Raw genomic sequence first — 15,835 nt, 5'->3', positions numbered from 1 at the left:
GGGAGGCGGAGGTTGCAGTGAGCTGAGATCACACCATTGCACTCTAGCCTGGGCAACAGGAGTGAAATTCTGTCTCAAAAAAGATTTTTTTTTTTTTTTAAATTAGCCAGGTATGGTGATGCATGCCTATAATCCCAGCCATGTGGGAGGCTGAGTTGGGAGAATCGCTTGAGCCCAGGAGTTTGAGTCTGCAGTGAGCAATGATCATGCCACCGCACTCAAGCCTGAGCAACAGAGTGAGACCCTATCTCAACAACAAAAAAATAAGTTTGTGTAGTACAAAGAAAGAATTGTTATTTGCACCCATACACACACACACACACACACACACACACACACACACGTTGTTTTTTATTCTTTGATGCCTGTGGTATTGTAAGAATAATAGGTCTTTGGGAGACTGAGGTGGGTGGATCACTTGAGGTCGGGAGTTCGAGACCAGCCTGACCAACATGGCAAAACCTCGTCTCTACTAAAACTACAAAAATTAGCCAGGCGTGATGGTGGACACCTGTAATCCCAGCTGCTCAGGAGAATGAGGCAGGAGAATCGCTTGAATCCAGGAGGCAGAGGCACATGCCTGTAATCCCAGTTACTCCAGAGGCTGAGACAGGAGAATCATTTGCACCTGGTAGGCAGAGGTTGCATTGAGCCAAGGTCGCACCGCTGCAGATAAGTGTAATATGACTTGGAAGATCTTTTAAGACTTTACCTCAGGTGTATAAGTAAAATTTATTTGAAACCTGAATTTGTTAAGTATAGAAAGGAAGACAATAAATGTAGTAAGAGCTGCCTGGTAGCACACATTACATATAAAGCAGTATGTTTAATCATGTCTGTTCCTGTTTAGAAAATTTTGTATTTCTAAAATATTAGCCAGTGATAGGCAAAAAAAGGAAAAGTATGAACTAAAATACTGAGTTCTCCTGATCCTTTTCTTTAGCTCCATATGGTTCTGTTTTTGTTATGTGGGGATTTGTCACTTCTGTGTTTTCTTGGTCTTCATACATGTAAAATGCCAGTTTTATTCATTAAGTATGAATAATTTCAAGTTGTTAAATCTTTGCTTCCCTGTAATGTGCTTTGTAAAATACTGGCTGCCAATATGTCTGTTTCTCTTGATGCTGGACACTTCTATCCAAAGTGCTGCTGTGAAGGCTGTAGCATTTTACAAATGTTTTGGCAAGAAGTGATTGAGGTACAGTTTAATGCAGGTTCCTGCCCACTTTGTATAGCCCCATGCACACAAAATAAATATCACACCCTCTTAACATTGACTGCTTCCTTTGTAGTACCATAAACATTCTTATTTTCTCTATTTCTGTACCCCCAACTGCAGCAGTTCAGAGAATGTCTTTTTTAACCATTTGATACCCATTTGGTAGAATATAGTATATTGGAGATGTGTCTTGAAATTGGATGCCATTTGGGTAGCAAACATGGTCAAGATCATATTAATGAGGTATGACCTATTTGTTCATTTTAGAAAAAGTAAAGGTGAGAATAACCAAACTAACTTAGTGCCACAGAAGATTTTTCTGGAGCACTCACAACAGTGAATGTGGAGCCAGTAATCTAGTGGGAGCTTGTATATACATCCATGTGTATGTGTATTTAGAGTGAGGCATGTCTAGGGCTTAAGTGGTATTGAATCTACTTCCACTAGCTGAGGTAGTAATTAAAATCTTGGTCGAGCATGGTGGTTCATGTGCGTAATCCCAGCACTTCAGGAGGCCCAGGCCAGTGGATTGCTTGAGGCCACGAGTTCAAGACCAGACTGGCCAACATGACAAAACCCCATCTCTGCTACAAGTACAAAAATTAGCTGGGTGTAGTGGTGTGTGCCTGTAGTCCCAGCTGCTAAGGAGACTGAGACAGGAGAATTGCTTTAACCTGGGAGGCGGAGGTTGCAGTGAGCCGAGATGGCACCACTGTGCTCTACCTGGGTGACAGAGCAAGACTCTGTCTCAAAAAGCAAAACAAAACAAAAGCCAAGATCTTGATGAAAAAATAGTGATGAGAAACATTGACCGGACAATCATGAAGGCTCTGCCACCTTAATTGGGCTTGGGTAAATTTTAAAATCCAAGTCTCAATTATAAAATGAGGAAGTAAAACAAAAAGTTCTAAATTTTGCTTTTTAAATAATTGAGTCATTCTCTGTATCTTTAAAACACTAAAGTAGCTTTGTCTTCATTTTCATTCTCATTTGAGAGGTTGTAGAACTACCTTTTAAAAGTTAATAAGGTTATAAAACCTATGAAAGTGAGGGGTCAGCAAGTGTTGGTCCTGCTATTTTTGTAAGTAATATTTTATTGAAATACAGCCATATCCATTCATTTCCAGTTGTCTGTGACTACTTTCATATTACTGGAGCAGGGTTGAGTACTCGTAGTAGAGATCACATGGGCCGCAAAGCTCAAAATATTTACTACCTGGCCTTTATATAGGCTTAGAAAATAGAGCCTTGACAAAATTTTATACTTTAATAGTGTGGTTTTTCCTTCTGTTAAAAAAAAAAAAAAAGACAGCATTGCCAATACCACCTTTCCTTTTTATAGTTATTGCTGTGTATATTAAAGCATTCCTGAAATTATATTTTAGGACAATCTTAGCATTAACATAATTGCATTTGTCCTTTGTTTCACAGGAAGATGAAAAATTTCTGACAGATTTGTTTGCACAACTAACAGATGAAGCAACAGATGAGGAAAAAAGACAGGAATTGGTAAGAAATTAGATACTATGAAAGGCATAAAAATAAAACAACTGGCCGGGCTTGGTGGCTCACGCCTGTAAATCCCAGCACTTTGGGAGGCCGAGGTGGGTGGATCACGAGGTCAGAAGTTTGAGACCAGCCTGGCGAACATGGCGAAACCCCATCTCTACTAAAAAGTACAAAAATTAGCCAAGCATGGTGGCGGGCACCTGTAATCCTAGCTACTCAGAAGGCTGAGGCAGGAGAATCGCTTGAACTCGGGAGGTGGAGGTTGCAGTGAGCCAAGATCGTGCCATTGCACTCCAGCGTCGGCAACAAGAGCAAGACTCCGTCTCAATAAATAAATAAATAAAATAAACTTTTTATATCACTTATCCTTTTTTCTAATTTCAGGTTAACTTTTTAAAAGAATTTTGTGCGTTTTCCCAAACGCTACAGCCTCAAAACAGAGATGCTTTTTTCAAGACTTTGTCAAACATGGGCATATTACCAGCTTTAGAAGTCATCCTTGTAAGTTTTGTGTCTCCTCATTTTTAATTACCATTTTTTAATCCCAAAATTAATATTTTTAATGCTACATGCAAATATTCTATTATAGCCAATATTTGAAATTAGCTGCGTAGTTCATTAAGTTAAAGAAGCTGTAAAATTCCAATATTAGACAGTTTTCACACAGTATTGAAAGAATGCAGTAAAGGAATTTCCCATAATTTAATGATAGTTTGTCAGCTTTGCAGCTTATTAGCTGAAATGTTAAAATAGGCAAACAAATAAATGATTTAGAAAGTATAATTTTATCCGTACAATAAGAGTTTTATATGCAGAAGAATTTCTTTGACCTTTCTTTTACATTGAAGTTTTTTCATATGTTTTGTTAGGTTTGGATATTTACATAGCTATAGGTTCCGTATTTTTATAAATACAGGAAAAATAAATGTTTTTTGTCTGCAGGGCATGGATGATACACAGGTGCGAAGTGCTGCTACTGATATATTCTCATACTTGGTTGAATATAATCCATCCATGGTACGAGAGTTTGTCATGCAGGAGGCACAACAGAATGATGATGTAAGTAAGAAGTTAACAGAGCAAAAAATAACCAGCAAGGTAAATATTATTTGTACTAATAGTAAGTATTTATACATAGGAAGCTATAACTGTTTTTATTATTCACTTTTAAGATTTAATTGTTGCTGTTTGGGAAAAGTGTAGCCATAATATCAGACAGCTTATTGTTCCCCTAAATTGGTTCCTGTCTCAGTTTATCAATTTGTCCTACAGCAACTATTTATGTTCATTTAAATTGCCTTTTAAAATATTCATGTCAGTTTTTTTTTGTTTTGTTTTGTTTTAATTCTGAAGTCAACTTGCTATATTGTGTTTTTTAAATCATTTAGTCAATCAATTCTTGTATCTGGGGAATTAAGAGTAAGTTACCTAGGAAAACATTGACTTTAGGGTAGATTCTCAAAATCGCCAAGAATGAAGAAATGTAGCACAGTCCCTTAAAATATGAAGGGTGCTGTTTCTTTACTGCCTAGCCATAGAGAACAAGCTGTTACGTTGTTCACAAACACTCACGTTAGCATCTGAGATATACCAGATTTTAAAGTAGTAGAGAATATATCCTGGTAATGTGAAGGGTGCGCCTGGATCACATAGTGCGTGACATGTGAGAGCACTAAATGTGTGTGCTCTCCTTTATTTTAAAATAATTGAACCAATGATTCTGATTTTTTCCTGCTTCCCCCATAACAATTTGGAAGCAACTTTTTACGTAAGAATGAGTAAGAAGGACCTGCTCTCAGGTCCTTCTTAAGGGAGGAGGGGAATAAAGATCCCCTAAGGAAAAAAAAAAAATCTGTTTAGAATTCCAGCCTGTGGTATTTTTACGAAATAGGAAAATAGACTGTCTTACTTTTTGAAAAGATCCTATTTAATGTATTGTGATGTCAAAAGGAAATGGAATGCCATGTAACTGCTATGTTTAAGTTTTTATTTTTATAGTGCAGGATAGGTGCAAAAAAGCACCAGTTTGAACTGTTGTGTCATGTTTTTCTTTTATAAAATATTAACATCGGCCTCAGCAACATAGCAAGACCCTCCTTTAGTACAAAATTAATTTTTAAAACTTAGATATGGTGGCATGCACCCATAGTCCCAGATACTCAGGAGGATGAGAAGGAAGAGTCTCTTAAGACCAGGAGTTTGACTCTGCAGTGAGCTATGATTGCTCCACTGCACTCCAGTCTGGGTGACGAAGCCAGACCCCATCTCAAAAAAAAAAAAAAATTCTTTGAGAACCAAAGTATCTGTATTATTGAAAATAAAGGCTATTGTTGGTCCCATTAACCCATGAGCTGAACATATGAACATGTATTGATATACCTCAAAATACACACAGTAGGACTCTTTTTTTTTCCTGTTTTGCAACAGAATAACATTTCAGTCACTAGGACTCTTGATTCCCACTCTTCTTAATCATCATTTCCATCTACTGTCTGCATTTTCTCTATCCCTTGTCCATCCTGCCTTTGCATACACATAGGCAAGAGCAGGGATTTTCTCACTGAATCCCTCTCAATCTTATTTACTACTTAGGTGAGGAATACCAGTCATAATAGGACCTCAGGAAAACCAGCCATCTCTTTTCTTTGATATTTAGAATGTGTATAATCCATTTGTTCTCTGCACTCTCTAAATACCATAGTCTCATTTTCTCCAATTTCAGACATTCAGATAATTTTTTCCTAAATTTATTTTAAAAGGAAATTTTATATCACTTTTACAAATGGAGAACATACATCACTGGCCATAAATAGAAGGACTCTATAATAATAAAAGCAATAGACCAGGCACGGTGGCTCACGCCTGTAATCCCAGCACTTTGGGAGGCTGAGGCAGGCGGATCACCTGAGGTAGGGAGTTCAAGACTAGCCTGACGATCATGGAGAAACCCCGTCTCTACTAAAAATACAAAATTAGCCGGGCATGGTGGTGCATGCCTGTAATCCCAGCTACTAGGGAGGCTGAGGCAGGAGAATCGCTTGAACCCGGGAGGTGGAGGTTAGTAAGACGAGATCGTGCCATTGCACTCCAGCCTGGGCAACAAGAGGCAAACTCCGTCTCAAAAAAATAAAATAAAAATAAAAGCAACGAAAGTATTATGATGTTCTAAATCCTACCTAAATATTCTTACTCTTAAAGCTATGGTCATAAAACCCACTGGCTTTCTTCAAAAGGTAGATTACATTATTAGAAAGTTGTAAAGATATATTATCACCAAACTAAAACTTTGCTTTTGCTTTATTCAGAGGAATTTAAAGATAATAGACAAGAAATTTCTATTTAGGGCTATGTCCCTGTACCACACTTTAGGGAATGAAACACTGTCATATGTCCTGTCAGATAACTGAGTTAAACATTTCACTTTGCAGTTAACAAAACAGCTAGAGCCTAGGTATAATGCTGTGGTATGTGTCTTAGTTTTTGCTTTTTCCGTTCTCTCATAATAAGTGATCCTGAGTATGTCTATTTTTCTCTCCAGGATATTTTGCTCATCAACCTCATTATAGAACATATGATTTGTGATACAGATCCTGAACTTGGAGGAGCAGTCCAGCTTATGGGCCTGCTTCGAACTTTAGTTGACCCAGAGAACATGCTAGCCACTGCCAATGTAAGCCATGAGCATTTCCCCTCTTTTTCATAGCTAGTATATTGTGTATTGCTGGTAGGAACCAGTGTGGTTAAAGTTCATGGAATTGTTCTTGTTTCCTTAGAAAACAGAAAAGACTGAATTTCTGGGTTTCTTCTACAAGCACTGTATGCATGTTCTCACTGCTCCTTTACTAGCAAATACAACAGAAGACAAACCTAGTAAAGGTAAGATAATTCAGGTTGGTAGTTAAGTTCTCTGTTCTTGAATGCTGAATTCAAAGTTGGTGTTAAGTCAGTCTTTTTAGGAGGCAGTTAGTGGGAGGTAGAGGCTGGGAGGACACACCTTTTAAAAAGTAGTAGTCTTTAAAAGTTCAAACCATCAGGTTAACATAGAGGTCTTAATAATTTGGTTGGTTGGTTGGTTGGTTGGTTGTTTTTATCAAAAGCAACCTGGAGAATTAATGATGTATTTTGAAAAGAAAGGTTCATGACAAAAATGTCCCTAAAAGGCCTGTAATCCCAGCACTTTGGGAGGCCAAGGCAAGCGGATCATGAGGTCAGGAGATCGAGACCATCCTGGCTAACACGGTGAAACCCCATCTCTACTAAAAAAATACAAAAAAAATTTAGCTGGGCGTGGTGGCAGGTGCCTTGTGGTCCCAGCTACTGGGGAGGCTGAGGCAGGAGAATGGCGTGAACCCAGGAGGCGGAGCTTGCAGTGAGCCGAGGTCGCCCCACTGCACTCCATCCAGCCTGGGCGACAGAGTGAGACTTCAACTCAAAAAAAAAAAAAAAAAAACAATTTTCCTGAAAGTACTGTAATCAGATAACAGAAACATGTAAAAGAAATAAGATAATTTTTTGTTGAACAATATTTGTATTCAGTTTGCATCTACACTGGTGAAATATAAATAGAAGGCAGTAGCTATGAAAAAATTCATTTTAAATTATTTGTACTCCAGATGTATAGACAGAGCTAGGATTTTTGCACAATATTAAGCTACTTTTATTTATATTGAAGATATGTTAAGGTTTGTTATTTTTGTATTATATTCATTAGAGCTTTAGCGTGCGTGTGCGTGTGTTTAATTTAGGAGGTAGTTTTAGGTCTACATTCAAAAATTGCTTATTTAAGCTTTAGGAGTAAATACATTATTTTGTCATTGGAATTTTTTTTTTTTTTTTTTTTTTTGGAGACAGAATCTTGCTCTGTTGCCCAGGCTGGAGTGTGGTGGCGGGATCTCGGCTCACTGCAACCTCTGCCTCCCAGGTTTGAGCAATTCTCCTGCCCCAGCCTTCTGAGTAACTGGGATTACAGGCACCTGCCACCATGCCTGGCTAATTTTTATATTTTTAGTAGAGGCAGGGTTTTCACCATGTTGGCCGGGCTGGTCTCAAACTCCTGGCCTCAAGTGATCTGCCCACCTTGGCCTCCCAAAGTGCTGGGATTATAGGTGTGAGCCACCACGCCCAGCCTTGAATTCTTAATATAGCATAATTATAGCACTCACATAAAACACAAGTTAAATTTACTTTTTGTGTAACTCCAGAATCAAGTCCATGAAATGTGAATGTCCATTTTTCTTACCTGCTTTATTCATATTAGGTAAAGCTTGAGGCTTCTTTCCAAACCACATGTTCTATTCCTCCAACCTTTATTAAGATGAGAACTCATTGTGATTTTGTGAAGGACTGTGTTATAATCTAAACGTGGGGGAATGAAAAAAAGCCTTTCAGAGGCTTGCTGCCTAGTGAGGAGTAAAGATAAGTCAATGATTATAATTCAGTATAGACTCGTTACAAGTAGTAAAGGAGGCACAAAACACACTGGAATCAAGGGAACAGGGAGAGAGAGTAATTGCACCAAAGATGACACGGTGTCTGGCAAAACCTCATATGCTATATCTGTTGGAGAACATGCTAAGGTACCTGGTAGAGGGTCCTTGAATTTTGGAATAAGGCAGATACTCTAGATTTGTATCATAACTCTGCCTTACTAACTTTTCCAACTTGGGTCTAGTTAGTTAATAGGCTCATAATGTGAAACAGTTTCTTATAGGGTTGTTAAAATTAAATAAAAAAAAGTAAAGCACCATTCCTGGCACATGTTAGGCGTTCAGTAAATGCTAATTTCCTCCTCCCTAAAGTTAATATATTTAGGTTAATAGAAGAGATTTTACTTGATTAGAATTTGAGTTCTTACATTTTAGAAGGAAAAATGTTAGTCATTAAATATAATTAGTTGTGTTTTGTTTCTTTTAGATGATTTTCAGACTGCCCAACTATTGGCACTTGTATTGGAATTGTTAACATTTTGTGTGGAGCACCATACCTACCACATAAAGAACTACATTATTAATAAGGATATCCTCCGGAGAGTGCTAGTTCTTATGGCCTCGAAGCATGCTTTCTTGGCATTATGTAAGTGTTAGAATTATTTATCATCTTTGTATATTGACATGTTGGTATTTTTTACATCTTATTGCCCAAATGAAAAGACCACTGATTACAGGTCAGGAGATCTAGGTCGTAATACTAGCTCTGCCACTGATTATGCAGGTTTGCCATGTTGAGCAGGTGTTTTTCTTGACTCTCTTCTTACTTAATATACAGTAAGGGAGTAGAATGTATCTACAGTGTTATATTCCATTACTAAAACAGCACTTTGATCATTTTACCTTGGATATTTTATAGCAGGGGTGACAGACTACAGCTGAGGCCAGATCCAGCCCATGGCCTGTGATTGTACAGCCTACAAGCTGAAACATGCTTATGTTTTTAAAAGGTGGCCTGAGAAGAGAGAAATGAATATGGTACAGAGACCATATGTGGCCCACAAAGCCTAAAATATGTACTAGGTGGACCTTTATGAAAACGTTTGTAGACTCTTTTAGAGCAATATAGTCTCATAACAAGATTGTTCTTAGACATAAGTTTTTCAGAATGACTTTCACAGTGTTCTTAAGACCCGAGTTTGTTAGAGAAAACCATGTTTCTGAATTGAAAATAGGTTAATCCAGGATGTTCTTTATCAAGCAGCAGCCAGACATCTCAGGTAATGAGTTGCCATATGTAAGTGGTCCTTACTGGTAAGTTGTTAGACCAAATTTAGGGGTACCTTAGAGGTTCTGTAAGAGATTTCTGGTGGTAATTTAATTTTTGCCCTTTGGTTTTTAAAGGTAAGTTTGAGTGTTTGTTGTTGTTGTTGTTTGAAGCAGTCATAGTCATGCACTAATTAGAGGCCTGAATATATATCCATTTTTGCTAATCTTCTTTACTTCATTTCTAATTGTTTTGCTTAATTGATTTTTTAAAAATCCTTAAATCATGTAATTACATATTATTAAAATAATTATAAATTAAAATTTTATTTTAAATTTATAAATAAATAAATGGCCAGGTGCAGTGGCTCATGTCTATAATCCCAGCACTTTGGGAGGATGAGGCTGGCAGATCACCTGAGGTCAGGAGTTCTAGGCCAGCCTGGGTAACATGGTGAAACCCCGTCTCTACTAAAAATAGAAAGCTGGGTGTGGTGGTGCACGCCTATAGTCCCAACTACTCGGGAGGCTGAGGCAGAAGGATCGCTTGAACCTGGGAGGCAGATATCGCGGTGAGCTGAAATTGCACCATTGCACTCCAGTCTGGGCAACAGAGAGACACTGTCTCCCCACCCAAGAAAAATAATAAATTTTATATTTTATAAAAGCAACATTGCTTTCTTTTAAAATTCATTAAACTTCCTATCAGGGCAACATTATATTCATTTTTCTCATATACTATCACAGAAAAAGTGAGAACACCAAGGCCAAGTTTAGAGGGGGAGTTTATAGCTCTTTGACTTGTTCTTTTATGTTGACAATAGAGTTTTGTTCAAGTGTGGAAAAGGGGATTTGAGAGCAGAATGGAAAAACTGAATAAATGAATAAATTGTTTTATTTTACCAAACATATTAAACACAACTATATTTCATTGATTCAAAAAATGTACACTTTTAAACATTATCTCTGAAATTAAGATGAGTCTTACAATTAACCCATTTATGCCTAGTGTTCCATTATTGGAACGCTAAGCTTGTGGGAGTTATTTATATCCTGCTTAAGGTCAACACCAAGGTCTGATTTTTTTTTTTTTTTTTTTTACAGAAAAAATTTGCAACCTCTAGCATGAATGGGTTAATGGCATGTCACTATAATTGGTAGCTTAGTCAGTGGCATCTTAGATTTGATTACTATCTTATATCTGGTGTACTAGGAAAATGAAGATGGTTATGACCTGGACTTGGCCATCAATGGAATCAGTTCATTAGGAGGAGGGAGTCATGTGAAAATCAAAATGCAACAGTAATAAGCACTACATTGAGGTGTGTTTGGATGCATAGTGGAAATAATTCATTATAATTTAATGAGGCAGATGAAAAATTTCACACAATTGGTAACTTGAGTTGTGTCTTGGTCATGGGAGAGTATTGCATTCTTGGTTGAATACATAGTTAAGATGTTAATTGGGTAAAAAAAAAAAGTGTGGCATGTGGACAAAGTATACTTGGTCTTTTTTTTCTTTTTTCCTTTTTTTTTTTTTTTTTTTTTTGAGACGGAGTCTCACTCTGTCGCCTTGGCTGGAGTGCAGTGGTACGATCTCGGCTCACTGCACCTCCACCTCCTGGGTTCAAGCAATTCTCCTGCCTCAGCCTCCTGAGTAGCTGGGATTACAGGAGCGCACCACTACACCCAGCTAATTTTTGTATTTTAGTAGAGATGGGGTTTCACCATGTTGGTCAGGCTGGTCTCAAATTCTTGACCTCGTGATCCGCCTGCCTCGGCCTCCCAAAGTGCTGGGATTCAGGCGTGAGCCATGGCGCCCAGCCTACTTGGTCATTTTTAAAGAGAGTCAGGACAATGCAGCTGAAAGCAAAGGACTTTTCTTTAGTTCAGTTCATCATTTCATTATTTTGCTTGCAGTATTGCAAAGAAAATTTCTCATAATCTAATGAGAACTTTGGAGAGAATCTTTTAAGTAAATGAAAGTTTATTGTTGGAAACTAAGTATGTTAGCAAAATCTTAGTTATGTTTCATTGTTGATATTTTCCAAACTGAGTCAGGTTATCATTAAACCTAACTCTTTGAAAGGACCTCTTGGTGTACCTCTCTTCCCAGGGTTGAGGATATATAAGTATCTTCCTAACAAAGATGTCTGTCATTAGGAACAAGCTTTTTAGAACTGGCTTTGTAGTATGCAATAGGAGTTTTTATCAAAGATATCTAAGAACTAAAATAAATTTGAGGAAATTTAAGATACTTGTGGTTCTTCTGAAAAAAAGTGTACATTGAAGTATTAGGTATAGTATTTTTTAAAGGAGGGTTTATTGATATTTAAGTTTAGGTGCACATATATAAATGCAGACAGTAATGAGCAATTAAATGTAACAGTTTGGGGATTTAGGGAGCTTTTAATTTTTTTATATTTGCTGCTGCTTAATTATTATACTTTGTCATCTTTAAAGACAACTAGTTAAGTATGTAGGTGTGTCTAGCAATCGTTTCTAAACTCGGTCTTTATAGGCTAGATATCACATCTATCAATTTCCTTGGCCTTATTAAGTTCCTTGGATCTTACATTGTAGCCCTTTAGCTCATACTTTTATGTTGTTTGAGAGTGTTTTGTTGTTAAAAACATGGAAATCTTAAAAAGGAGTGAAATAAAGCTTTATTATAGAGGCATTTATTCAATTATCATTAGTTACAAGGTAAAAAGTCACAAATTTATTACATGAAATTCACGTTTTATAAAGTACAGATAAATAATGTTTTTTAGAGATGATTGAAACTAAGCACAAGAGGTTCCTGGAAATGTTAATGAAGGTTAGAGATGTGAGTGGAAGCAGAATGTGCTTTACATTGAAAATCCAATGGCAGTGCCAACTTGGCCTATCCTAAAAGCTTTCTCCACTCTACTTTGAGTGACTTGACTTCCTAGATCTTACTGGTAAAATTTTGAAAGCAGCTTTTTACTCAACAGCAAAGAATAGTGGTTGGATGTTTTTGATGCAGGTTTCTTTTAAGGGATGGATTTGAGTGGTAATAATACAAAGTTCTTGATATAAAATGTAAGAGCAAATGGAAATAAGGACCAAAACAAAAAGACCACTAGAACCTCCTTCTATCTACCCCAGCAGTTTCTGGATAGAAGTGCTCTGGAAGAAGTGCAGTGGTGCCATCTACATTCCCTTGTCTTAGTGAATTTCAGGAAAGGAGTTTTTCACTCACCTAGGAACTATAGTCAGACAAGAGGGGTGTGTGTGTGTGTGTGTGTGTGTTATGGTAGGACACAAGTCTCCACAAAGCCCGCAAAGTTGGAGTACAAATTCTTAAAATAGTAATACTCCTGCCTTAATTATTACAAGTTTAAAATGTGGTCTATTAGCATGAGCTCTAAAGTACTGATTTTTATTCCTAACAAATGGAAATGCCTCAGTAAGTTCCTTTGTCAAATAACCTTAAAAATACAAACTGAAAATATTGTTTTGGGAAAATAAACCCTTGTTAGGCTTTGACTTATCACACAGAAAGATGCCTCTTAGTGTTTAAAATGTCTTAGTTCACCATGAGTATGTTTTTAAAAATATTCAGTAGTTTAAAAAATAAAATGCAATTATTATTCTATAAACTATTTAGAAACTCCCTGCCCAGAGTGTTTCTTAAGAAAGATACACTCTTAAATAAGTTGCATTGTTAAGGCAGTTAATAATCAACTGTACCTAATTGGGCATTCACTTGTGGACCTCTTTTCTGCCAACTAAAGAAAAATTGAGCTGCTTTACTCCTCTGCCTTCCCACCCAGAAACCGTGTCAGCATGGTTGCCTGGCTACCTGCTCATGAAGGACTTGATTAATAGCAAATTGGCAATTTAACGAGCCACTTCCATGATCTCCAAAGAAACCAAAATACAAACACAATATTTAATCTTGCCAACCGAAGACGATGTGACTGCATGAAGTGAGTATGCTTTTTTGCACTGTTTACAATAACTGGGGCATTAACTTACTGATAATTCCATTTAGGTAAAGAGGGCTTTGTTGAAGTCTAGCTGTCTGAGTATATTTGTGTCTTGATGAATGGTGACTTAAGTAACTCCCCATACCTCAAGATGTAAATATACCTTTTAATCTGTAAGTTAAAGCCTAATTAATTATGAAAATGAAAACTAGAAAAAAATTAAAAAGCATACTCGCTACAATAAGCATAGAGGACCACATTTTAAATAACATCCTCTAAATTTATTTTTAAACTATGGCAAGGCAAATTTTGGGTCATGCAGATTTTTGTGGGTTGATGGCCTTTCTACAGCCACATCCACAAATAAATAAAATTCCATGAACTACAATGCAAAATAATAAGAGTGTCCAAAAATATTGAAGATCAAATTATACAGTGGATTGCCCTAATAAAACACTGGTTTTTTCTATTAAGGTGGATATAAAAGGTCATGTTGAATTTTTTCATCTTAAGTAGTGTGATAGGTTCATTCATTTGTCTTAGCTCTTATTTTAGATGTAAATTACATTTTGGTCATTAGTAACTGGTTTATTTTCAGGATTTTTCTGGCTTTCTAAGACTTGTGTTCTATGATGACATATACTACTTTTAGAAGACATTTTTCTGATAACATTTTCATAATCCTTATCTTTAGGTTCACAGTTCCGGAAGTGCAAACATCATAAATAATTATTGATATGTGTTAAACAGTTTTTTTTGGTTTGATGGTTATTTTTGTTTGGTAAGTCTAAAGTATGGAAGAGTGGTATGTGATTTAAACAACCATGCCTCTGTGTTTCAGGTGCCCTTCGTTTTAAAAGAAAGATTATTGGATTAAAAGATGAGTTTTACAACCGCTACATAATGAAAAGTTTTTTGTTTGAACCAGTAGTGAAAGCATTTCTCAACAATGGATCCCGCTACAATCTGATGAACTCTGCCATAATAGAGATGTTTGAATTTATTAGAGTGGTAGGTTCTGTATTTTTAATTAGAATTTTCATTTTAATTGTTTGAGAAAATTGAATATGCATTACCTAGTATTTTGGCTTGAGATGATAATATTTGGAGAGATTTAAAAAAAAAAAAAAGTACTAAAAGCCTGTGAGAGATTTGAGTCAAGCTACATCTTACCTCTCAGCAGCTACAAATCTGTTATAGCAGGGGTCCTCAACCCCTTGGCCGCGGACCGGTCCATAGCCTGTTAGGAACCAGGCTGCACAGCAGGAGGTAAGCTGCTGGCAAGCAGGCATTATTACTGCCTGAGCTCTACCTCCTATCAGATCAGCAGCAGCATTATATTCTCCTAGGAGCATGAACCCTTTGGTTAACTGTGAGGTGGAACAATTTCATCCTGAAACTGTGCTCCCCCACTCCCACCCCAGTTGGTGGAAAAATTGTCTTTCATGAAACCAAAAAGGTTAGGGACTGCTGCTTTGTAGGATGGTCACAGTAATCATTTTAAGAAAGCAAAACTACACTTGACAGATAAGCATTTGAATGTGTTTTTCTTAACTTACACATTTCTAAAGACCAATTTCATAATACTCTTTATTCTCTAGTAATGTAATAAGCTAGTGGTTCTCATTGATGCTGTGCAAATTTATCTGGCATGGCTTTTTGTTTTGTTTGTTTCTTAGAGACAGGGTTTTGCTATGTTGCCCAGCTGGGCTCAAACGATCCTCCCACCTTAGCCTCACAAGTAATTGAGACTGGAGGTGCATACCACAGTACCTGGATGTCGTGCTTTTTTAAAAGCTGGGATAAAATAATATAAAACATTAAACTTGCTATTTTAACCATTTTAAAGTAAACATTCACATTGTTGGCAGCCATCACCATTATTCATCTCCAGAACTTTTCTGTAACATGCTTTTTTTGGGGGGTGAGGGAGGGGGGTGGGGACAGAGTCTCACTCTGTCACCCAGGCTGAAGTGCGGTGGCATGATCTCGACTCACTGCGCCTTCCACCTCCCAGGTTCATGCGATTCTTCTGCCTCAGCCTCTAGAGTAGCTGGGATTACAGACATGCGCCACCATACCCGACTAATTTTTGTATTTGTAGTAGAGATAGGGTCTCACTATTGGCCAGGCAGGTCTCAACCTCCTGACCTCAGGTGATCTGCCCACCTTGGCCTCCCAAACTGCTGGGATTACAGGCATGAGCCTCTTCACCCGGCCTGTGACATGCTTTTAAAATACGCATGGCTGTTGTGTGTTCTCTCTTGTAAGTGGGAACTAAACTTTGAGTACACATGGAAATAAAGAAGGGAACAACAACAGATACCAGAGCCACTTGAGGGTAGAGAGTAGGAGAAGGTGGGGATTGAAAAACTACCTATTGGGTACTGTGCTTACTACCTGGGTGATGAAATAAGCTATACACCAAACCCCTGTGACACGCAGTTTACCCGTATAAC

General features: G+C 37.3%; 1 protein-coding gene across 11 annotated transcripts in view; it reads left to right on the top strand.

Annotated features, from left to right (window-relative positions):
* Window positions 1–15,835, top strand: part of PPP4R3A (protein phosphatase 4 regulatory subunit 3A) — a 53,047-nt gene that overhangs the window by 30,918 nt on the left and 6,294 nt on the right. For 3 of the 11 annotated variants that reach the window (XM_005267842.3, NM_001284281.2, NM_001366432.2), the window contains 7 exons: window positions 2,651–2,728; window positions 3,113–3,229; window positions 3,671–3,826; window positions 6,267–6,398; window positions 6,502–6,604; window positions 8,642–8,800; window positions 14,218–14,387. In XM_005267842.3, coding sequence (XP_005267899.1) covers window positions 2,651–2,728; window positions 3,113–3,229; window positions 3,671–3,826; window positions 6,267–6,398; window positions 6,502–6,604; window positions 8,642–8,800; window positions 14,218–14,387 — 915 coding nt within the window. The other 8 variants (NR_169193.1, NR_169191.1, NR_158976.2 and 5 more) reach the window with 5 other exon arrangements.

Source organism: Homo sapiens, chromosome 14, assembly GCF_000001405.40.
Source record: "Homo sapiens chromosome 14, GRCh38.p14 Primary Assembly".
Lineage (NCBI taxonomy): Eukaryota > Metazoa > Chordata > Mammalia > Primates > Hominidae > Homo > Homo sapiens.
This window is presented reverse-complemented; position numbering and strand designations above follow the sequence as displayed.